Source organism: Homo sapiens, chromosome 12 (assembly GCF_000001405.40).
Source record: "Homo sapiens chromosome 12, GRCh38.p14 Primary Assembly".
Classification (NCBI taxonomy): domain Eukaryota; kingdom Metazoa; phylum Chordata; class Mammalia; order Primates; family Hominidae; genus Homo; species Homo sapiens.
In genome coordinates, this window is record NC_000012.12 from 17,589,168 (window position 1) to 17,615,451 (window position 26,284).

The following is a 26,284-nucleotide window of genomic DNA, read 5'->3' on the forward strand; positions in this document are numbered from 1 at the left end:
ACTAGCTGGAGCCTCCTGGAGGACAAGGCATGTAGAGCAGGAAATAAGCACAATACGGGTAAAATGAGACAATGTCAGAATAGGACACCTTGGTTGAAAGAAAATGTATTTGTGGAAGAAAAAAGAACCTTCTGGGAGATTCTGAAGTCTAGTGGTTGGGTGACGAGGCTGAGGCAGGAGAATGGCTTGAACCTGGGAGGCAGAGCTTGCAGTGAGGTGAGATCGCGCCAATGCACTCCAGTGATTAAATATCTATTTTATTTAACAATGTACTTGTAGCACCTGATATATTTGAAAGAGCTTAAAGATTAAAATATTTTAATTTCTGTTTATTTTGGGCTGCATTGAAGATAACATTGTTCTAAGACTGGACTGGGTTACTGATTTTTAAGCAATAAACAAATGGCAAAATTACCAAAGTTACTTAGATAAGAAATACTGAGAGAAGGCCTGTTTTGGAAAGAAAGATGATGAATTCAGTCTAGATATATGAAGTTGAGATACATTTGAAATGCCAACAATGAGATAGAATACATACTGAATGTAAGGCCTGAAGCTCAGCCGAGAGTTCTAGAGAGATGGACCAACAACAGGTCAATAAACGAAACTTAGGGCCAAGAGAAGAATCCAGTATTTCCACCTCATGGCAGGAATTACATAGTCCTTACCAAATTGATATGTAACACAGAGAAAATTTAATTGGTTTCTAGACTGTGCTTATACTATAGTGATTCTTAATAATTATACCCAAACTTCTGTTAAAGCCTTGAAAAAACCTTTAGAAAATGAAGGAGAAATAACAAATTCCATAAGTAAAGAGACAAAAAAAAAAAAAAAAAAGGAAAGTGGCTAGGATCCATAGGATTCAACACAAAAATATATACTGAAAATTCAGAGGTAAAAGGAATGTAGTGAGATGTAACCATGGAAATTTAAGATTCTAGTTACCCTTAAAAATCTTTTGAGAGAAGGTGGACAATGAATTTCATGTAAGTTACAGGATTAAATACTGAAGCTGTTTTATTTTAAAATTAAAATTATGAACCAATAAAGATAGAGAATTGGGGACATTTTATTTACACATTTTAAAAGGAAAAAAAGGCAATCTAGATGTAAGGGAAACAGAGAAAGTCACAAAAAACTTGAAGCATATACCATGAGAAGGTCTCCAAAATAATCACATATGGTGAAAGCCTGGGTTTTAAGGTGAAAGCACAGTACTAGGGTGACAAAAATTTGCCAGTTAAGTAATTAAAAATATTATTTTACTAACAACAAATGTCACTTGCTACTCTTTAAGCTCCAAGAGATTTTGTCTGAAAGATCCTCGGTTCTTAGAAGCATGATTGGTTTAAGTAGCTGGCACTCATTAAATGCTTCTTGAATTAATATGGGTATATGGATGAAAACACACAAACACACACATACAGGAATATATAAAGAGAGAGAATTACACTCCTTTGTTCTTGCTATAGATTATAAAAGCTGCTGTTAGAAAGGCCCATACTGGAAAGAGGACAGGAGAAGAAGAAACCCTGTAGGAGTAGTGAAAACCATACAAGTAGCACATTGTCTTGAACCAGACAATCCTCTAAGGATTGTATTAGTAGTTAACAATTCACTGGCAGTTTTAAGATATTTGTGCACTGAAAGCTACAACTAAACTAGTAAGCACTGACAATGCTGTGAGGGTGATGGAATAAGACCCATCTTCTAAAATGGCTGGTGTCGATTTGGGAATTTAGCAGCTATGTTCAAGCAGAATTGATTTTTCTCTTATCGTGTCTGCCCTCTGCTGAAGACATAGGGTGCCAATGGAGAATTAATCATATATTCTGATATATAACATTGAAACTTTTAATTAAAATTCAAGTAGCTAAAAGTGGATACAGTAGACAGTTGGACAGACTATTTGGCAGAAGCTGTGTTCTAGAAAAAAAAAGATAGAGAAACAATTTCTCTACATGACTGCTTTGGAGCTCTCTTCTCTCAGCCATTCTTGGTGCGTAAAGTGAAACTTTACCCCAAATGCATACTATTTGGAAACAGAAAAAGCTTTTTTTGTTGAAGGATACAATGGAAAATGCATAAATCAACCTTCTCTATTTGGATGACTTTGGTAATTTGCATTCATCTGTTTAAAGAGAGTTGTCTTTGGAGACTTCTTATTTTTACATAAAAATTACACTCAGCATCTCCCAGCTTCTTTTGTTCACTAAAATTAGATTTGCTCACTTATGCAATTCACAGGACCTAATTTGTTCAGAGGGAAGTCACATGCTATTTACAGCATGTCCTTTCTCACTTACCTTCCTCAAAAAAAAATTAATAATATGGCAGCTCCCCTTCCGTGGCACAGTGCAAGTGCTGGTGATTCACGGGGTGCGCTCCTGTGGGCAAAAGGCCACCTCTCTATTACAAAACAGAAATGAAAAATTGGCAAAAAAAAAAAAAAAATAAGATTTGCAAGTATCATGGGATTTTGTGAGAGTAATTACACTGGCTTTCAATATTAATGAACTTTTGGAGGACCATCCATGAAGCAGTCCATTGAATCTTCAGCTTCAACCATTCTAGTCCTGTGTCTTTGCTGATAATGGAGTCCTAACTGTATACCAATGCTGAAAAACTCAAAGACTGCTCTCGTTATCATAACTGTAGTGCAGTATTCTATCCGCTGAATGTATAACCACACTCTAATTTGGAAAAGTATTAGCAGGGCATTTGCAGAGGGAAGTGTGTTTGCTATGCTATATGAGATTCTCATATATTGATATATATGAGAATATATCAAGAGATGATCAGAAATGAACAGTGTATGAACAGTAAATACATATTTTTAAGATGGTGTATATAATTCCTCTACTGTGCTTTATGAGCCTTTAAAACATATCACCTGCTAAAATAAAACAGGCTATTTTTATATATGCCTGTTTTTGTCGCTTGCATGGTGTGTAAACTTGAGAAAATTATAATAGATATTTCTAAGCTTCAGTTTTCTAACCATAGAAGAGGGATAATAGAATATGCTACAGAGCATTTGTGAGGGCACCAGTGACAAACCATCAGAGCCAGCTTCGTGGACATGGGAACTGCCTACACACACAGCACAGCACCCTGTGCTTAGAGGAGCCCTGCAGTTAGTTTAATGCTCTCCTGTTGCTCTATGGAAATTCTTAATAATGTTTGAATAGGGCCCCCCAATTTTCATTTTCCACGGGGCACATAAATTACATAGTTCTTTCTGCAGTTAATAAGTCGTCTGGCCCAGTGATTGCCATATGTTAAGTGTTCAATATTTATTAGTGTCGTATTTGCCCTCCTCCTAAATGTGCAGGGTCAAAGTCAATCAAAGGGTCTACTGCTTTATACTGGTTTCTCACACTCTTAGGCTCTGGAAATCAGTTTGTTTCATTTCCTCCTCTTGGCCGCCTTTTCCCACATTACGTTTGAGGTCACATTTCAGTACTGGCTGCACATTATCTAACAATTTACTAGGCCCACATGACCTCTTTCCTGGGCCTATAAAGAACCTCATTTAAAGCCTTTGGGAAATAATCACTTGATCACTTTTCACAGTGAGGAACTTGCCCTTAGGGCTAGATTGAAACAGAAAGTTAAGAAAACGGCTAATGGTGCATTGGGATGTAGTTTTAGTTTGGGTGTTCAGCTCAAATCTAGGTTTTTTTTTTTTTTTTTTTAATTGCTTTGGGTCTGGTGTCAGGTCTGGGCTTTGGAAAACCAAATCACAGAATATCTAGTTTATGTCCGTTCTAGCCCCTATGAACTATATTTCATCATTGATGGTACAATCACGTAGGTACTTTTATAGCCAATTAGTATACTAGTGTCAACAATAAAAGCAAGTGTGACATTTTATATATAGTTAATATCTGAATATGCATATTCAAATATAGGCAGGTATTCCAGATCAAATTGAAAGTAAAACTAGTTCTAAGGTACTTTTTGCATTGACATTCTACTAGTTATTGGTTATATATGTTTACTTTTAATTATAATAGAAAATGCTACAATAATTCACAGGGGTGAAGTTGTTAATTGTATGTTCAAAAACAATTAAGGACTTTGAAATAGATAAATAGTGAAATGAGAGTTAATGTGAATACTAAGAAAGTGAATTATATAAAAATCTTTAGAAAGATTATATACTTTTGAGCCAACAAATGTTTATGTAATTTAGATAATACTAGAAAAAAATAAAAATTAGATTATCTCATGATTTTTATTGTTATGTAACTAGGTGTAATAACATTATTAACTTTAAACAACATATAAACTCTACACATTTTAGCTAGTTATTTATACTTAGAGTATGAATCTTTCTAGAAAACAGTTATAACTGATAGTTTTTTAAAACATCTTATGAGGATAAAAAGCAAAGAACCAACTTTCAGTCTCAAAATTTCATTGAGAAGAAAATCCTAAATCATTTAAAAGTAACATTCATGACAAATCATCTTTGAGTCAGATATAATGAACAGCATAGAGAGAATGAAGAAAAATGAAAGTGGCATAGAAAAATTAGATACCTCAAGCAGATACCAGCTCTCACTAATAACCTTCAAAAGAGTATACTTAATAGAAATGCATCATCTTACTCATCATCATTTTAGAAGTAGAATAAAATTGCTTAATTAAATAGAAGACTGAAATGATCTTAAAGTTCTCTTAGTTTAGTTTTGTTGTTGTTGTTTGTATTCAATGCCTTTATTGCAAAATAATGTTGCACAATAGTGGATGCTGACAGAGCAAGCCAACAAAATACTTTTCTTCTCTACCAAATTCATTTGCAAATGAGCATTTATTTAGAATGGCAAATGTGCAGCACATTGATCTAAGGAGTAATCTCAGCTAATGGTACAAATAAATATTTGCTCCTCTACTTCATTCAAATATTGACATTTTAATATTCTTTGTGGTTAAAATTGTATTAAAATTAATAATTGTGAATACCAACAATTTATTTTATTATGATAATATTTTTAACACTGGGTCTTTTGGCATTTGGCCAAAATATATATTCTGGATACAAATACCCTGCAAAATAAGAAACGTTAAAAAGTTACAAAGATGGCAACGTTGATAGCATATTTCCTTGATTATAATTCTCTGTTAGACCTGTTACATGGAAACCCCTGTTGGACCTTTGTTTTTGAATTATATCTGAGAGTAAAGCTCCCACTCAGTCATTTCCTCAGTCATTTATAATGTTAATTTAATTATATTTTATTTTAGACCTTATATTATGTATTTAAACCTTTTTAAGATTGGATACATTTTTTCTTACTATAATAACAATTGCCTGAGATTGGAAAACATTATAATATTAATAGCATTTTACAATAATATCACAAAATAGTATTAGTTTTTTGTAATAAAATATTAAACCTTCATATTTTTGTATAAATTTGAAAAAATAATTTTCATCAACAAATTAAATTTTTAAATTTATGTAGATATAGCTTAAAAATCCTTTATGTTATTTTGAAAATTTGAAATTTTCAAAAAACACGTAACAGCAAATGCATTTGTTTTTAATAACTGAAAGCATTCATCTCTCTTTTCTCTTATTATTTTTTTTTCTCTCCCACCCAACGTTAAAACAAATGGACTCATACTCATCATATACCTTATTTGAGGGAGATAATTTATATATAAATTTATACAAGCACACACATGTATATTTAATATATGTTGTAAATAAACATGTTTATTAGGTGCATTAAATTTCTCATTTTACATATAAATTCAAAAAGAAAATGCTTATTTTTTAAAAATACAAATTATTGATACACCCCAAATTTGGAGGTCAATGCTAGAAAAACGAAAATGGCTCCCTATTCTTTACTTATTGTTAGATGAGTATAAAAGATAAACACAATAGTTTTTCTGAGTATTTAACCAGATTATAGAGCTATTGATCCATTAATTCAGTTGTAGAAGAAAATGACACTAAATGTGTGCTATTCTTCCCATGCATTTGTATACAAATGAAGTCAGCTGAAACCTATTCATTTATTTTTTGATTCATTAATTCATGCCACCTGTCTATAAGCATTATTCTAGAAGACTGGAGATACAGTCATAACAAAGAGAGGCAAAATGCTTGATTTTATGGAGCTTACATCATGATATACTGAATGCCATAGACAATAAATCAAGAAGCGGATAAAGCCGTTGGGAAGGGCTTTCTGATTTGAGGTCCGATTAAAGGCTCATTAGTAACTTTTAAAAAGGGGAAAATGAAAATGACTTGAGAAGGGTAAAAATTTTTAGCATAGCAGATTGTAGGGAAATTGTAGAAAGATGCTGGGTTAGAGAACATCTTTTGTTCTGCTTTAGTAATGATTGGAGACAGGGAGTTATGGCTTGGTTATGCACATCTAAGCCTGAAGTATTATCTCAGCAATAGTAAGACAATGACATTGAGAGATGCCATCCGGAGTGACACAGAAAATGGGCCTGCCATGATTAACCCACATCTAGGAATATGTATTAGTACCCTAACTCCTAGTTTTTAATTGATTCCAAGACAAAAGATATAATGTTTGTCTTTATTCTATAATGGAAACTAAAATTATGTCTCCATTTCTTTCTCATGTCCTTTAAAAAATTATTGAGATATAATTCACATACCACACAAATAATCTATTGAAAGCATATGATTCAATGATTTTCATATATTCATTCAGTGTACAACTATCACTACGTTGAATTCCAGAACATCTTTATCATCCCTAAGAAACCATGTACCATTAACAGTCACTTCCATTCCCACCATCCCCAACCTAATTTTTGTCTCTATAGATTTGGTTATTCTGGACATTTTATGTAAATGGAATCATGTCATATGTCATCTTTTGTGATTGGCTTCTTCCATTTAGCATAATGTTTGCAGGGATTATTCATATAACATGCATCCGTCCTTCATTTCTTCTTTTTTTTTTTTTTTTTTTTTTTTTTTTTTTTGCAGAATAACACTCTATTGTATGGAAATACCACATTCTATTTGCCCTCTCATCAATTGATGAGCATTTGGATTCATTTCACTTTTGACTATAATAAATAATGCTCTTATGCATATTCCTAAACACGTTTTTCTATGGGCAGTTTTAAAATTTCTCTTGAGGTTACACCTAGCAGTGCAATTGTTGGGTTTAACATTCTCAGAAGGTACTATTTTATATTTCCGCCAATACTGTATGAGAATTCTCATTTCTGTTCCTTAGCAAATTAGCACAGTAACAGAAAACTAAATACCACATGTTTTCACTTATTAATGGGAGCTAAATTATGAGAACACAAGCACACAGAGAGGGGAACAACACACACTGGGGCCTATTACAGGGTAAAGGTTTGGAGGAGGGAGAGGATCAGAAAAAACAACTAGTGGGTACTAGGCTTCATACCTGGGTGATGAAATAATCTCTACCAGGTGAAAAAAAAAAGCGTTCTCATTTCTTCATACCACCACCAAGATTTATTTTTATCTATCTTTTTTACTATAGCCATTCTAGTGAGTGTGAAGTGGCGTATTATTTTAGTTTTGATTTGCATTTTACTAACAGCTGACAATGTTCAGCTTCTTTCCATGTGCTTTGTGCTTGTTGGACATTTACATAGACTTTCTGGAAAAAAAGTCTAATCAATTATTTGTCTATTTTAATCCTTTGTTGGTCTTTTATTATGGAGTTGTGTGTTTTTTATGTATTCTGAATGCAAGTGACATAACAAGTACCTGTTTTGCAAATAATTTCTTCTATTCTGTGGTTTACATTTTCACTTTGTGTTTTTTGATGTATAAATAATCTTAATTTTTATGAAGCCCAGTTTATTTTTATTTCATTGCTTGAGCTTTTGGTGTCATATCTAAGAAATCACTGCCTAATTCTAATTCTATGTTTTTTCCCTAAAGTTCCTTATAAAAGTTTTATAGTTTTAGATTTTTGATCTTTTTGAAGTTAACTTTTATATATGATGTGATGTAGGTCTAACTTCATACATGTAGGCTCAGCTTTAATTGCAGAAAACACTATTACTTCCCCATTGAATTGCCATGACACCTGTCTTGAAAATCAATACTGTAAGTGTTCAGATTTTCCTCTGGACTCTCAATTATATAACATCGATATATATGTTGGTATATATGTCACTATGACAGTATATATGTCACTACAACACCGTCTTGTGTCTTACTGACTCAAGTACTGTCTCACTGTAGCTTTGAAGTTTGTTTGGAAATCAAGAAGTACTTAGGGGTTAAATTATAGTTGGAAAAAACATTAAGAAGAAGCGAGGAGAAGGAGGAAGAGAAGAAAAAAGAAAGAGGAGGAAGAGAAGACACTCAAATCGTTAATTTAATTTTCCACCTTACGCTAGAAGAAAAAAGAGCAAACTGAAGGCAAGGACAGGAAACAATAAAGATTTGAGTGAAAAATAATGAAATAGTAAATGGAAAATAATAAAATTACTTATCAAATTTAATCAAAATTGGTCCTTTGAAAAGAATGACAAATTTGAAAAATCTTTAGCTAGATTGACCAAAAATGTAATCAAGTTTCTAAAATCAGGAATAAAGGAAGTGATATTGCTACCAACCTTACAGAAATACAATAGATGATAATATAATGTGTGTAGTTTTTATACTGACAGATTTCTTAGATGACATGAACAAATTCCTAGAAATACACAAATTATCTGAACTGATGCAAGAAAAGCAGAGTAATCAAAAAGACTCATAACAAGAGCTGAAATCAGTAATAAAAAAATTTCCACATAAAAATTTTTCAAGCTCAGATGGCTTCATTGATGACTTCTACCAAATACTTAAAGAAGATTTAATAGCAAGTCTTCACAAGCTTTCAAGAAATAAGAGGGGAACACTTCCCAAATTATATACATTGTTATCTCTACTAAAAATACAAAAAATTAGCCAGGCGTGGTGGCAGGTGCCTGTAATCCCAGCTACTCAGGAGGCTGAGGGAGGAGAATTGCTTGAACCCAGGAGGCAGAGGCATAGTAAGCCGAGATTGGGCCACTGCACTCCAGCCTGGGCAACAAGAGTGAAACTCCATCTCAAAAGAAAAAGTTACTATGCAAAATTATATATACTTATATAGTTATAAAAGACAGCATAAATGCATATTTTACTTCTTTCTTCTCTTAAATGATTTTTAACAACTATATAAACAACATGGGTATAACTGTTGTTGAGACTATAACATATAGAAATGTAGCATATTTAGCAATAAAAACATAAAGGAGAGGGTTGGAACAAAGCTGTACAAGTAAATAAAAAGAAATGGCAAATAAGGTTAATAAACTATGTATATATATGTACATATATGTATGTGTATACACACACACACACACACACACACACACACACACAGTTGTTCTCCAGTCTTCAGTCAGCATCCTTGAAATACATAAATTTATACAGAGTATAATTATTACTATATTTTTGGTCTGTAAATATGTATAGCAAAAAACACATACAGGAAAATAAACTAGAGGTATATAGGAGTAACATTTCTATCACTGAAATTAAGTTAGAGGAATTTGAAATAGATTCCAATAACAAAAGAATTATACGATAAAACGTATAAAACCCACGAAGACAATAACAAAAATATAGTGAAAAATCAATAAAATAATTTAAAACATTACACTAGAAAATGTTCATTTACTGGGGAAAAAAAGCAGTAAACAAGAACTAAAGGAACCAAAAATGCATGACACATATAGAAAACCATAAAATAGTAAAGATAATCCAACTATATCAATAACAACATTAAATGTGAATAGATTTGATAATCCAATTAAAAGACAGGATTCTAGGGATGGATTGTTAAAAGTATGATTCAAATATGTGCTGTCTACAGAAAACAGACTTTAAAACTCTTTTTGACAGCAAGTAAAAAGTTGGAAAAAGTTATTTTATGCCAAAAAATAACATGAGAGGCTGGGTGCTGTGGCTCATGCCTGTAATCCCAGCACTCTGGGAGGCTGAGGTGGGTGGATCACGAGGTCAAGAGATCGAGACCATCCTGGCCAACATGGTGAAACCTCATCTCTACTAAAAAGTACAAAAAAAAAAAAAAATTAGCTGGCGTGGTGGCACGTGCCTGTAGTCCCAGCTACTTGGGAGGCTGAGGCAGGAGAATTGCTTGAACCTGGGAGGCAGAGATTGCAGTGAGCCGAGATCACGCCACTGCACTCCAGCCTGGAGAGAGAGCGAGACTCTGTCTCAAAACAAAACAGAAAACATGAGAATCCTGAAGTTGCTCTACAAACATTGGACTAAATATACCTTAAGCCAAGAAATGTTACTAGAGATAAAAATAAGCACAACTTACCAGGAAGATATAACAATTATATACTCACCTGACATCAGAGCTCTAAAATACATGAAGCAAAAGCTAACAGGTTTTAAGGAAGACACACACACACACACACATATATATACACATATATATATACACACATATATATACACATATATAAGTATATTATATATGTATATATGTATATGTATACACATATACGTACGTGCGTGTGTGTGTGTGTGTGTGTGTGTGATCAACAATACCTGGAAATCAATATCACACGTTCGGTAAAGGATAAAACAACTAGGCAGAAGATCAACAAGTCATGTGCCACCTACTGTCTTCTATCCTCTTTGTCTATGAAGAGAAGCCAGCTGTTAATCTTCTTAGGATTCCTTTTTATATCATGAGTCATTTTTCTTTTGCTGCTTTCAAAATGTTCTCAATTTTGACTTGCTGCATGTTAACTACAGTGTATTTGGTTTTCTATACCTTTGTATGTATGTATGTATGTATGTATGTATGTATGCATTTAGAGGCAGGGTCTTGCTCTGTTGCCCAGGCTGAAGTGCAGTGGCATGATCTCGGCTCACTAAACCTTCACCTCCTGGGTTCAAGTGATTCTTGTGCCTCAGCCTCCTGAGTACCTGGGATTACAGGCACCTGCCACCACCTCCAGCTAATTTTTGTATTTTTAGTAGAGACTCGATTTTGCCCTGTTGGCCAGGCTGGCCTCGAACTCCTGACCTCAAGTGATATGCCCACCTTGCCCTCCCAAAGTGCTGGGATTACAGGCATGACCTTAAAAAAAATTACAGCATGCAAAATAAATTACGTGCCCAGCCATATTTATTTTACTTAGAATTCTTTGAGCTCCTTGATGTAGATTAAGGGTTTCTATCAACTTCGGAAGGTTGGCAACCATTAATTCTTTGAATATCTGTGTTTTATGTCTCTGTCTAATAGTCCTATTTTACTGCACTTAGTAGTGTCCCACATTTTTCTGAGGTTCTCTTTATTTTCCTTCATAACTTTTATTTCTGTTATTCACATTGCATAATTTCTATCAATCTGTCTATTTGGCTGATTATTTCTTTGGCTCAAATCTACTGTTAAGCCACTCCTGTAATTTTTTTTTTATTTCAGTGAGTTTTCTTTCTATACATTGGAATTTCCATTTGTTTCCTTTTTAACTAATTTTTATTTTTTATTGATATTCTCTATTAGATATTATTATCTTTTTTACATCTTTAAGCATGATTTTCTTAGATATTTAAAAATGTTAAAAAATTTATAATGTCTACTTTGAAATATTTTTCTGTTAAATTCAACAGTGGAACTCTCTCACAGCCATTATTATTACCTCTCCCCATGTCACCTACATTCTGATTGCAAGTTACATTTCTTTTATTGCGTTTCTTGTAATTTTTTATTGAAATCCAAACAATTTAGGTACGTACTGTAACAGTTCTGGACACTACTCTTTCTCCTGTATCCAGGGTTACTTCTTGTTGTCATTATTGTCGTGGTTTTCTTGTTTATTTCTTTAGTGATTTCTTTGGACTATTTTAGTGAAATCCATTTCCTCCTCAAGGTCATGCTACCGATAGTGCTTCTCAGAGGATGTAGCGTTGGGCATATGTACAGTCACCCTAAGATTACAGTAGTTTTAGAACCTTTGGCTCTTTCCCTGACCTCTCTGCCTTTTCTGGTACCATACTCAGCTTTTAGGTTCCTTGAATTTGCTGAAGACTGCTTTACTGTGTCAACAATATCCTGGGGGTATACATTTCTCCATTGCCTGATTCAATTAAACATGAGCCTCTTTGTAGGAATACTGTATGAGGCCGGTTCAGACTACAAGAGAACATTTATTACTTGTCTCTTTCCATGGTTCTCTCTGGCAAACTAGCTTGCCTAGTTTATCTTATTTCTCCAATCGAGATAGCAGATTCCTCTTAATGTTAATTAACAAAATGTCCTTTTTTTTTTCTTTTAGAACAACCACTGATTTGATCTTTCCTATTCTGTGTTTCAAATAAAATAAGTTCCCTATATTTGAAGTTCTCTGTTCCTGTGGACTGTCCCTCCTTCTGGGTAAAATCTCTGAGCTATTGCTCCAAACTTGGGGATAGGAATAATAATCTGCTTCTCAAGGAGCAGGGTGCTCAGTGGGGACAATAGCTTCTGGTTTTCTAATTTGCTTCTCTTGGAGTGCAACCTCTGCCCAGTGAGTAAGCTCAGGAAAGGGCTATCCAGATCCCTATATCTTTGCCTACTATCTCTAGGGTCCAGAATCTGTCCTGTGAGTGGGGCCCGGGTGCAGGAAATGAGCCCCAAATTACTTGCCATGCCAGAATGCACATGCCAGGAATATAGCCTTTGGAACTTGTACCTGGGATGAAAACAAATGCTGGCAACTTGCTTGTTCCAATAAAAATCATATCCCATGACTAGGAGCTGAAGGATGAAGGAACCCTGTTTTCTAGGGCACACTCTACCAGCTTCGAGCATCCAGGCACTGAAAGGACAGAAAGAGTTGTCATTCAAATGTCATAGATTCTTGCTATTCTTATCAAGATTAAGTAGTTTTTCTCGTTTCTTCATTTGCTGTATGCCATTTGAGCACTTCCAGAGGTATTCAATGGTTGGGTTTAAAAATAATTTTCAAAAATTATAGTTGTTTCCTGGATGGGGATATGTTCATGGAGGCCCTCATAATGACATTCTAAAAGTCTTTTTTAAAATTTTTAACTTGTATTTAGGCAGGTTTAGGAAGAAGCTTACATTGTCTTCTTCCGCTTTTGAAATTGCTATTAAAACCAAGATTCCAGGCTTTTAATTATAAAATATTTATTCTAGGACGGTGGACCATTCAGAGAGAAACTAGTAAAGAAGAACTATCATGTCTATCCTAGTTGTATCTACATAGGTTGAGACAATTCAAATTGTGCCTATTTTACTTGATGACACTGCATAATTATGATAAAAATAATTTTAAAAATAATAAAATTGATTTTAGAGACCACTTTAGATTGACAAGAAAAAAGTGTGGAAAAGGAATTTAGAAATGAAAGAGAAATAAATATTTTATACCAAGCATTATTATCAGATGGACTTTAGCATTAAGTAGCAAAGAAATAGTGTACTTTCTTACTAGTAAATTTGTTTTATAAGTTAACCTTCTAGTATTCCAAACTATGAAATTCGAAATAATAGTGTTATAGGTTACAGGATTTTTCTCCAGATGATGTACTATTGCTAATTTCCTATGTCACATCCACTCCTCAGAGTCAATCTTTGATCTTCTGCTAGAAAGTTGGGCTCACTTTCACTGTTTTCTCTTGTCTGTCTCTGTCTCTTTCTTTCCTCCCTTAACACTTTTTTTTCCCCCTATTTATTCTGTTGTCATTTGTTTTTCTCTCTCGTTTTTTTTTTTTAACTCTACACGTTGGCTGTTTCTAATTTTCTTGGTTTTAAGATCACATTTCAGATTTTTGCCTCTTAAGTTTCTTTGTCTTTTACAGACACTTGAAGAATGTATGTTGGGTTGATATTGATATAAAATACACTTATACCTTTAAGGCCACCCATATTTGTGTACTCTGGTTCATCAAATAGGCATTGTTTAACTTCCTTCACCATTAAAAAGAATGTTAACCGAGTTCATTTATTTATTTAATCATGTATTCATATTTACTCTTTGCTTTTGCAAACTCTTATTTCTAAAAGAGATAGGTCTCAATTTATAAATCTGTTTTTAGTATAATTTTCTGTTAGACTTTTTTTTAATATAACATATATTGTCTTCCATGTCACCCTATTTGGTTAACCCAACTATCTTTGACCTGAAAAGTGGTCATTTATGTTCTATATACTCCAAAAGTTGAACAACTAATGGTCAAGAACATTTTGTCAGGCCTCTGAGCCCAAGCTAAGCTATCATATCCCCTGTGACCTGCACGTATACATCCAGATGGCCTGAAGTAACTGAAGAATGACAAAAGAAGTGAAAATGGCCCGTTTCTGCCTTACTTGATGACATTACCTTGTGAAATTCCCTTTCTGGGCTCATCCTGGCTCAAAAGCTCCCCGACTGAGCACCTTGTGACCCCCATCCCTGCCCGCCAGAGAACAACCCCCTTTGATTGTAATTTTCCACTACCTACCCACATCCTATAAAAACGGCCCCACCCCATCTCCCTTCACTGACTCTCTTTTCAGACTCAGCCCACCTGCACCCAGGTGAAATAAACAGTCTTCTTGCTCACACAAAGCCTGTTTGGTGGTCTCTTCTCACAGACACGAGTGAAAGTTTTTATAACTCAATGCTCAAATAGAATATTTTGCAAATGAGACATAAAATGTCCTAGGTCAGATTATATTTTTAAAAAGAATGGCTTATTATTTGCTTCTGTTTGTAATATTTTACCAAATCTTATATAAAAAATTAGGCCCAGCAAACTGCTTTTATCCTAGGCTATAAAAGAGTTGGAGTGAGAAGGGTAGGTCAAAATACAAATCCTACAACAAATGTACATCTATTACTGCCTACAGACTGTGATTCTTTTTCAATAAGGAATGTTTGAACAACTTTCACTGGTGACGTGCTATTCCTCTCTGCTCAAGAATTAATTAGAACATGTTCCAATAAAAACCTCTAGCATGAATACATGGAACCAGACCATGTTCTGTGTGCTGTGTCATCTTACGTGATAAGCCACACTATCCTTCAATAGACGCACATTGCTTACATTTTTAGAACTATTAGCTGGAATAATTGTGAGACATTCTAGGCAATGTTCAATAGCCCATGCAGATGCCTGACAGGGCATGTTGTCTCTTAATTAGAAATTTGAATGCCTAATGCTTGTATATTAGCTGAAATAATTGGATAGATGTTTTACATTTCTTTCACTGTTACTGACAGCGAAGCCAGATTAGCTAGAATCACATCTTTAAAAAACATACATATGTATATGTGAAAGTTGTTCAAACATTCCATATATATGTATGCTACACAGAAATTAAATATTCTGAATATTTAAATTAATACTTAAATATAAATGTATGAATATATGGAATATCTATACATGTTACATTGAACTTAAATATGTAGCTGATTATTATATTTAGTAGACATTGTTTCAATAATTCTTTTGGGCTTTTAGTCCAGTATTATTATGGTATTATACACATTTTGGTACACCCCGAGTCACCTCCTATTACTACCAGATATCTAAGTTAAATGCTTTACTTTTTTTTTGGTAAATATCTGCTCTAATTAGGTTGCATACACACTGTGTGTTTCTGTTCGAAATGTGTCATTAGGATAGTACAAACATATGTATTGCTTATATTTAAAATGCTTGATAACTTAGTGTTTATTCACAACTGTTAATACAAAATCTGTTTTTAAACATAACAAATTGCTGTCTATTAGGAATACACATAATGGCCTATTTCCATAAACATCTTTAGTAAAAGATATCTTGATGTGCAAAACCCTGCAGACATTTTATGGAAGTTAGACAATATTTTGCAGAAGTACCTCAGAGCCATATTGTTTTTGCTTAATATTCTGAGAAGAGGATTATGATTGCCTGATAATGTGATGTGAAATAAAGGGTCCTATACAGAGGTGAATATGAAGCTTTATATATTTAAATATATGTCTCTCTTTGTTTTGCTTATGTACCTTATTAGCAAGATTTGTATACATAAAACAAGACATTATTTGAGAACTGCATGCTGTGTATGCTCTCACATGTAAAATCAGATTAATGTTGATTATATACAAAAAGAAGGATTGCTGTCGCGGGCTCAAAGACTCTTAAGAGATCTAAGTTTTGATGAAAAAAGGTATTTAACAATTAAAACAGCTCTATTTTTCTGAGGAAAAATATGGAGTTTGTCTTACACCAGAGAGTTGTGGGATTCAGAAATGTTGAATGTCAAACAAAGATATGCATATCAGCTTTTCTGTAAACAATACAAATTATTCCACATTAGATTAATGTGATAGCCTTGCAAAGCATAAGGAGTAGGTGCTATGTGGAAAAACAAAGCTATAATTCAGAAGAAGATGAACTCTCCTTGCAAGGAAAGAGTTGAAATCATAAAGTATTCTTCTAATTTTGTGTTATAATTCAGAAATGCAGACACTCTTCCCATTTTTAAACAGCCATTCACCATATAATATTTTTCACATTTTATTTTTATATGAAAATTAAATAACTCATATTAATATGTTAAATTGATTTAAATGATATGCCAACTCTTCTCGTGTCATTTCTGTTAGAACATATTTGATAAATAATGCATATATTGGCCCATACTTGATAGAATAACTATACATCATGTTGAGAAAAATTACTAGTAGAACAGGAAATGTTCAATGCCCAAGAGTCATTCCCTCTAAACAACAACAACAACAAAAATTGAGTCATATTAACTTAGTCAGCAGTGTCTTGATGACACGTCAGTTGCCACCTGTCATTACGTGCTTATTATGTACTAAAATAGAATTATAAGGTTTTGCTGACAATTACTGCAGGACATAGTACACCACATTTTTATTTGCTTGTTTTTGAAGGGGGTTTGTATTTTATTTTCACTTAGTCTACAGACAAGCTAAAGCAAAAAAAAATGTGTCATATTGAGATAGAATGAAAAAAATCACATTCTGTGACTTATAAGAAATGCACCTAAGAAATGGAAACATTCTGTTCCTTGATCCCTTATTCTTCCTTTTACTATCTTCTTTTTGATAGATATAATTTTATTTACATAAATTTAGGAAAATATATTTTAATTCAAAATATCCTTTGTTACCAAGCAGTAAATCCTTTTGGAATGGAAATTTACAGAAAGAATTATTTACAGGAATCAACTATAATTACATGTAATTCATGCTGCAGCTGCTTATAATTGTAGTTTTCCCTAAGACCTTCTCTACTTATAATCACCCGAGAATTGCTTCTTTGAAAATGGTTAATCGGAATAATAATTTTTTTCTATAACTAAATGCAGTGGCATTAAATGATTAGTGAGAAGCATTTAATAATCAGATGAAAAGACAAATTTGGTTTGACGCAAAAAAATGGATAAATACCGAGTATGTGTCAAAAATTGAACAAGGTGATGCAAGTTAGAGTGCAGGACAAATGGAAATAATAGTCTCTCCCTTAAAAGAGTTTAAAATCTAGCTGGAGGAATAAAAACATACCCCATACCTAAAAAACAATCAGAAAACATTTGTAAGGGATAACCTGACCCCGTACAAAATATAGAATTAATATGTTCTTGCTTTCCTAAGTACAAGACACATTTACTTCACAGAAAGATAAAAGTTAAAAATTTCTTCACATAAACTGAGCCATGGGACAAATGTAACATTGGATCTTCTGTGTATATTTATGTTACTGGGCCTCCAAAAGACCATGTGAAGCAGGAAAATGCACAAAATTAGCAATTAGAACTAGGTTCAATATCTAGCGCTAACACTTTGTGGACACATTGTTAAACTTGTTTGGATAAAATTATTTGACCTTTCTGAGGCTTTTCCCAGTTAAAAATAATGACCTATCCATGATCCTTGTAAAAAGTCATTCATATCATGTATATGAAACCCCGACTTATACCCCACCCAGGAAAAAATAAGCTGTTATAATAGGTGGCAGAATTTCATAAGTGACACTGCTTTTACAATGTGGTTGTCAACTTCTGGGCACTAGAATATTTTATTGTAACAATAATTATAGGGTTAATATCTATCTATATACAATTCCTAGAGATTGCCTGAATTTAATAATTTAGGAAGAAAACAAAAGTATGAAGTGATTGAACCATATCATATAACTAAATCCATGCACATTCAAATATGTGTATATATAATGTATATATTATATGCACATATATATTTGTATTTATATATGTATATATTTGGTTTTATATAACATGTAGCTATATGTGTTTTATACATATATATTTGGTTTTATATAATAAACATAAATATATGTAAAAGATTCTGCAGGAGAGGCACAATTTTCTGTCCCTTGGAAAATGGTGGTATCTTTTAGAACCTATTTAGATTAGGCCATCTTCTGTGTGTCTAGTTAGAGTTCTTATGTTTTGTGAACATATTCAAAGTACAGAATATGTCTATTGAGTCTCCCAATGAACTATGCCTTTGGATGTACACATCCTTATTTAGTCCTGCCCCCTCGAATACAGGCTAGTCCGATGACTAATTTTGAGCAGTAGAATGTGATGAAGTGACTCCATGGTACTTCCAAGGATAGGTCGGAAGATGCCTTACCTTCCGCTTCTGGGTCTCTAGAAAACCTTCCTCATTAGATAGTCAGACACTTCATAAGGGGTCCAATTATCTTGATACAAATGAGGACACCCTAGATGTGGCACTGATTTTCCTGGAGAGACTTCCATGCCTTCATGGTGACTGGACTTGGTTTGTGAAAGTTCTAGCTTTTCTAGTGGGTTCCTAGAAGGCACTGACACACATTTCCTAGGTGCAGCAAAGTTAAAGCCCCATAAGTCACATGTTGACCAGTAAAACACAAGAGACAGTAAGGAACAAGCAGATAAAGATTTGGATCTTCCCTCCTTTAGAAGGGATGTTTCAAAATGCTGTAGCTTTACAGTGCCTCATAGACATACCCCAAGAGATAACAACTCGCTGTGCTTTTCTAGAATCTATGGTTGACACGGTCCTAAATCTTACTATGTCACCTTTCACACCTACCACTGTTCTCTCACTGTTTTTTTTCTCACTGCTATTTCTCTGATGTGTCCCCTCCAATATAATGCCAGTTCGCAAGTTCTTGCCACAGGCTCTGCTTTTTAGAGAATCCAGTTGAGATGACCAGGAAAGGGACATTGTAAAATACTTTACACTGGTATATGTAAGCATAGCTTTTAGTGAGATAGACTAAAATCTCAGGCATTAGGTGACTTAAAAATTTCTTAGGGAAATTGTATATTTTCCAGAATAGTTTAGGAGTCTCAGGTTTAGCAAGTTTTAAATGACTTAGCTTGATTATGTAGCAGACACCACATCTCCATTTTGACTCCTGAATATTACCTTGTGTACTCTGGGTTTGATTTATGATACAATAAGCAAAAATACTGTTTGTGTAAGTATGCTAAATTTAGACCCTGATTTTATTTTCAAGATGATTTTAAATTAAGATGCTGGTTGTATTAAAGCAATCCAAGTTCTTATATAAAAACGACTTGCTGTAAATTAATGAGCTCTTACTACACTTATTAATGGGAATGCCACATTGCATAAGACAGGTCACTTTTCTCCAGTACATGTAAACATTTTATGAGGCAGAGAAAGTGTCGGTACAGAGTTGGTACCTCAGCATCTCTAAGGCCAGGGCTGGAAGTCAGGAGAATTAGCTGCAGGTGCTTAGGGTTTAGAACGTGCTGAAGGGACGAAAGGCCAATGTATTGGCTCCAGGTTAGTTCTTATGATCAACTATTCTTTTTATCTTCCCATAAGACCACCTCTCTTGTTTGTTGCTGAGGATGGGGGGATAAGAGGAGGGGGCCAAGAAGGAGTAAGGATGTTTCATTTCACATAGGAAACAGAATTCCTCAGACGATGGCCCAGTAGCAATGAGAAAAAGCACATTAGCTTAAGCAGACTGAGGAGGGCACCAGGGGTGGGGAATGCGAATTATTCTCATCATTTCAAGCATTAACAGTAAATCAAGACAATGGCCTGTTCAGTGTTTAGACCTGTGCAATTTCTGGCCCTTTTCCACACATTTTTCTTTTGTTTATCTCCTGAGAGATGCCCACATGTGTACAATACAAAGAACTGAGTCATAAAAGCAGAGGCCTGGTAGCCTCCCTGAGGACCAATTAATGGTGCTCCAAATCTTGTGGGCAGGCAGATAAAAAGGATAGAGAGAGTGAAGGGGAAGAGGATGAATACTCAACTAGAGTAGGGCAGGATTTTTTTTTTTTTTTTTTCAGATGTTAGAAGGGACTTCTTTAGCTATTCTTGTATACTTCTTTGGGGTGTGTGGGTGTTTTTTTCTTTCTTGTTTTTCTCCCTCAGCTGCCTCTGTAGTCCCCCTAGTTCTAATGGGAACAGAGAGAAAAGTAGTACTTCAAAATATCAATTAGGCTTTCATCCGAACTGATGACAGCACGCAGCTGGTTGGGGAAAAAAAAGAATTTAAAAGGCCATTTAGAATGTTTCTGTCCCTCCTTTCATATATTGGCAGTTTTATTGATAGGTGCTTGAGTTTGTATTACCATTTGTATCTCCAAGCTGGAAATGACTGTGAGTGCAAGGAGCTTTGTAGTTCAACCTTTAACTCCAGTCTCACCCCCTATGAGTCCACAGGCCTTTGAACAGCAACGAAGTGGCACTTTGAAATCAGGAGTTGAAAGTGTTTGACATGGAAAGGGGAGCTTGAAAGTCTTGCTCTTTGAACCTTTTCTTTTCAAAGTCCCACAGAAAGTACAGGCAGGACAATAATGGGCAGGCTGGGGGCTCTGTGGGTGAAGAGAGGATATGTGATAATGAGGTTTTAAGTGTTTCTTTAGCTCCATTCTACTCTGTTTCCTCTGAGAGAATTAAAGCTGCCTTAAGATAGTACCGTCACTTCATGGTGGTAGTAGTGGAATTTTTCCTTTTTGCATGTTAACTCATTGCTTAAGGACATTATCAGGAAAAATCTATCCAGCCATTGAAAATTAGAGAGTGGACATCAGAATTCTCTCTTCCCCAGGGATGTTGGAGAAATGTGTCCTGTGTTCCAAAACTTTCCACAGACTAGGCAGTGGTGATTCCTGAAGCAAATCTGCTGAAGGGAGGATGTGTTGCTTAGCATTACTTGTAGAGGGACTTGGTCATTACTGTGGCATTTCCTCTGCTTGACCAAAGACTGGATTAAATTCTAAATCCCCAATTTGTTTCAAAACCTGATTCAGACCATGGATGAGTATGGTAAAATATAACTTTGGGAAAATTTAGCTCTGTCAACAAAATGAAAACATAAAATTGCAAGGAAAACAGCGCCATATGTATCCTCTATTAATCGTTATTTGGGTGTGAAGATGCCTCTGACCCACTACCAGCACAGTAATTTTTAAATGTTTTCTAGGAGTGACGCAACCAGTCTTTCATGAAATCCTTCTCTTGACCACTGCATGCTCCCTTGATACAAAGTTCATGTTATGGTGATGGGAGGTAGTGAAGCAAGATAGATCACAAAGCAAAGAAATAGGTGACATTGTATTTGATGCTTTGAAAATAATAATTTACAATTATCTTTGTTCTGGTGTCTTAAAAAATCAATCATATAAAGTGCACACTTTGAAACATGTTATTACCTTTTTTTGGCTTAACATCATATATCTGTGTTAAATTTGATAAAGAAAACAGAAACCAGTATGTTTATTAAGCACCTATTATGTGACAGACACAGTACTTTACAAGTTGCTTTACAGATTTTTTTCTATTGATCTTTTCTGTAACTCAGAGATAAAAATGGTTATCCCTGTATTTCAGATGATCAATCTTGAAGTTTAGAGAGGTTAAGTAGCTAAAGCATGATCACAATTCTTAAAAGCAGGGAAATTAGAATAGATATTCAATCATTCTGACTCATGGTTTTTGAACTGTATGGCAAGTGAATATTAGTAATTAATAAGAAATATTTAATGTAAAGTCAATGATCAGCATGTATCTAGATCATTTTCTGTAACAATGACAGTTAATGCCATTATGATGATAACAGTGAATTGCCTTCTTGAAAGAGAAATTAAAAGACATTTAGTGTAGTTTTAAAGATTTGTGGAATTAAGGATATATCCCAATTCATAAGTGCCCACCCTTTTAAACATTCTCACCCACCAACAATAACATGTAATTTAGTTCCTGACAAAGATTGAAATTCACTGGATCTGGAAATAGTTGCTTGGATTTCTTATATATCTTTAAACCATAATTTACCTCTGTAACCTTATATACCTTTTAAGAATAATTTATCTCTTTATTATAAATATAAAACAAATTTTTCTCAAAACATGACATCCTGTTGTTCTCGAATACTAATTTTGCTTCATTTTTGTGGCCATTTCCTGAAGAATGAAAAAAAAATTGGACTGGGGTATCAGAACTCTCTAGGTTACTACAGTTTATTGATTGGATAAAGGGTACATTTTTCCTTGAGCTTTGAAATTCTAAAACACACATTTATTTCCTATCATGAAATGGTGTTTTGTTTGCATAACTAACACTTACTATATTGTGACTACATAATGCTGGGTTAAAAATAATGACGGTTACTCTAATAAGCATAGATCCTTGTGAAATCCCTTCTGGCAGTAGAATGCTTCATTCTCTCTGCAGGTTTCTTGGATAACTAATTCGTGGTTCAGTGTTTTCTATTTTCTGACCTGTTTGAAATGAAAATACTTTGTTATAGTAAAAATAGTTTTATTATATAGTTTCAGCACAAATATTTACAAACATGTATAACAAATATATCACACAATACTTATATATACATACCTTTGCCAGTATATTAAATTAGGAAGAGTCTGGACACAGACTGCTTTGGCATTGAGTCCTGGCTCACCCACTTCATAACTATGCAACTTTAGGCAAGTTATTTAATCTCTCTGTACCTCTCTTTACTCATCTGCAAAATGGAGATAATTTGTTTAACAAATTCACAGAGAAGTTGTGAGGATTAAATGAGAAAACAAAGAATAGTACCCAGTACAAACTAAGCAATCAATACTTTAGCTACTATTGTTATCAAAGGTACCATGTCTTATTAAGTGCTTTAGTTACCCAGTAACCATAGATACCAAAAGTTTGAATGCCATAAATAACATGATTGTCTTAAATCTGAAATATATTTTTATCTTAGAAACACTGAATAATTTTAGTTATGCTGTTTTTTTATCCGTTATTGTTATTATCATTGTTACTATCTGTAAATAAAGTAAACAGTTTACTCAGGCCAAGAGCAATTCTGTAAGTAGAATATTGTTAGACACATATATTCTGACTGTATTTTATCTTACTATAACAGTGATGAAAAAAAAGCAAATAATAATTTGGCCGATTCCTGGATGAGTACATAATATTCCAAGAAGCTCCTTGATTAGAATTGCTTTGTGACGTAAATTAAATACATATATATATATACACACACACACACACAAACACACAAATGTATATTGTCTAAAGATATATATTTATATATACACACAATGTATTATATATACATATTCAATATGATGAAGTTTAGATGAGCAATATTGAAGCCTATCTATGAAAAAAATCAATTTTTTATTTTCTTCTCAAATGGTAAAGTTTGAACAATAATATATTAAAGCAGAGGGACAAGTTTGTGAAACAAAACAATGAAAACTGAAGTAAAAGGTCTTTGTGGGTGAAACATTATAACAAAATATCTGTTTTGAGAAATGATAAAGCTGAGATGATGGACATGCTAACTATCCTTATTTGGTCATTAGGTACTACTGTAAACATGTATTGAAACATCATACTATGATTCATAAACATGTACAATTATGATGTGTCAATCATAACAAAAATTTAAAAATTCATTGGGAAACATTCTGAAAATTAATTAAAAGTGAATATATGAGTCTCCCTATAATATAGTTATTTTAGTTTCTTCAGAGTCCTAATAGATAACTAATGATAATTCTCTAACTTTAAAAATTTGTCATGAAATTTTAACAATCTGAAACTATGTGTTTATAGACAGCAGCAATTCTTTACACATCATTTCCTTGTCTACATTCTAGATACAAAATGCTTTAAATAGTCACTGCTCAGTCAAAATTTCCTCCTAAGTACTTCTTGTTAGTTTTATACAAATTTAAATCACTTATTTTATAAGATATTCAATTCTGAAACAAATTGGAATTTTATGACACTTTAAAATATTTTATTTAATTAGGAAATACAAAATTTTCTTCTGTTATAATTTTTGTTTACCATTTTTCTATTACTGAAGGATTTAATATTTCTCTTAACTTAGAAACAAGTTATTCAACCTCATATATTTTTTTGCATAGAGAAATATATATGGGCATAGATATGGATATAAATATTAACATAGATATTAATATAGAATGTTATGAAAGTATTTTGACTTTGAAATATTTCTTTTTCTGATTGACTTTGTAAGATACTTAATTTATAAATATGTTTTTTCTTTGTTTTATTATAATATTGTAGTTTTAAAATAAACAGAACAATTTTTTCTTATAAACAAATCAGCCATTATTTATAGCTAAACTCAAGAAATGGACTTTTTATCAATGAAAAAGATAAAATGTTATTAAGAAAACAGCACAGAAAATTCTTACCATAGGCAAGTTCCTTTCTACATATTTATTTTTATGACCACCTGTAGGAAAAATCTAAGTAACTAATGCATTGATTGAATACCATCTACCTGGCAATCTTTACAGAAAAAGTTTGAGATTAAGTTTGCATTTCACTCTCACTGGATCTCAATTTTTCGATAGGTCAGGTAAAGTTTCCTAAAATTATGTTTTGTAAAGTAGTTTTGATATTTATAAAACAAAGTAGTCATGGGTTTTTCAATACAATTTTTCTATTTTTGAAATGATATTCCTCAGACCAACTCTTAAACATTATAGGGCATAAATGAAATTTTGTACCCATTGAACTTATGTACGTACAATGTAGTGCCTGTTGTTAACAATACTGTGTTGTGGAGTTAAAAAAATTAAGGGGGTGGATCTAATGTTAAATGTTCTTACTACAAAACAAACAAACAAACAAACAAATGAAACGTAGGAGCACAAGAATGCTTTTGGAGGGGATAGATATGTTTATTACCTTGGCTGTGGTAATGGTTCTGCAGGCATATACTTATGTCCAAACTTAACAAATTGTGTGCTTTAAATGGATGAAGGTTTTTGCATATCAATGATAGTTCAATAAAACTGCTTAATTTTTTTAATGGAAGAAAGAAAATTATAACTTAAAAAGTAAAGTAAAATTTGGTTTAATAAAATGTGAAAAAAAATTTTAAATACTAGGCATTACCCATAGACCTTGAAACAAATTGAAATTTCATGATATATTCATATAGTTTGTGATTCTTTAGGTCTTGGATATAGACAAGAAATTGTATAGTTAACCATCTAACTAAGTGATTTTAATGTGTTCCTTAGTTTAAGAAACACATGTCTAAAAGCCATTTTTCTTCTAAAACATTAACGTTTCTCTATTATAAATTATTTTTAAATGACAAACAATAGAGAACTTAATTAAGTTTTCATTGAGGCTCCCCCACTTTTCTACCTCCCGGCTTTACATTTCTGATTATTAGGCTGAAAAATAGACTGAGAGTGATGGCAACTCAAACTGGGTAACTTTAAAAAACTCATTTTTAGTGTAAACTGAAATAAATAACCTTATGAGAAAGAGCTGAAAGACCCTCCAGGAGCTCTCAGGTTTCACAAATAAAATGTAATTGATGAGCTACTAAATGAATATTTTAAATAAGTTGATGAATTTATCCATCAATGTATTTTCTTTTGTTTCATAGTTATTGTTATTGCTGTCATAACGATGAGCACTTCACAACAGCTGTCACCACCAGATGCAGCAGCAATTGCATGGAATCATAACTTAAAAAATTAACAACCAGATTTCTGAAGTTAGAGTTCTTAGTTTCAAATCTTGTCTGCATCAAAATTGCTCTGTGACTTTGGGAAAGTTTAACCACTGATTTCTACCTTGAAGAAAAAAATGAGTATAATAATATCTATCTCGTAAAATGGTGGTGAAGATCACATGGGATAATGCAAATGAAGTTTGTATCTTATTGCCTGATACATAAAGTATATTCAATAAATATTTGCCATTA

The 26,284-nt window shown here is 33.2% G+C and overlaps 1 long non-coding RNA gene across 1 annotated transcript; it reads left to right on the forward strand.

The window, feature by feature from the left end:
• Nucleotides 1-21: 21 nt before the first annotated feature.
• Nucleotides 22-26,284, forward strand: LOC124902888 (uncharacterized). The gene is made up of 2 exons (XR_007063231.1): nucleotides 22-216; nucleotides 25,964-26,284. It is a non-coding gene; the product is annotated as an uncharacterized LOC124902888 (long non-coding RNA).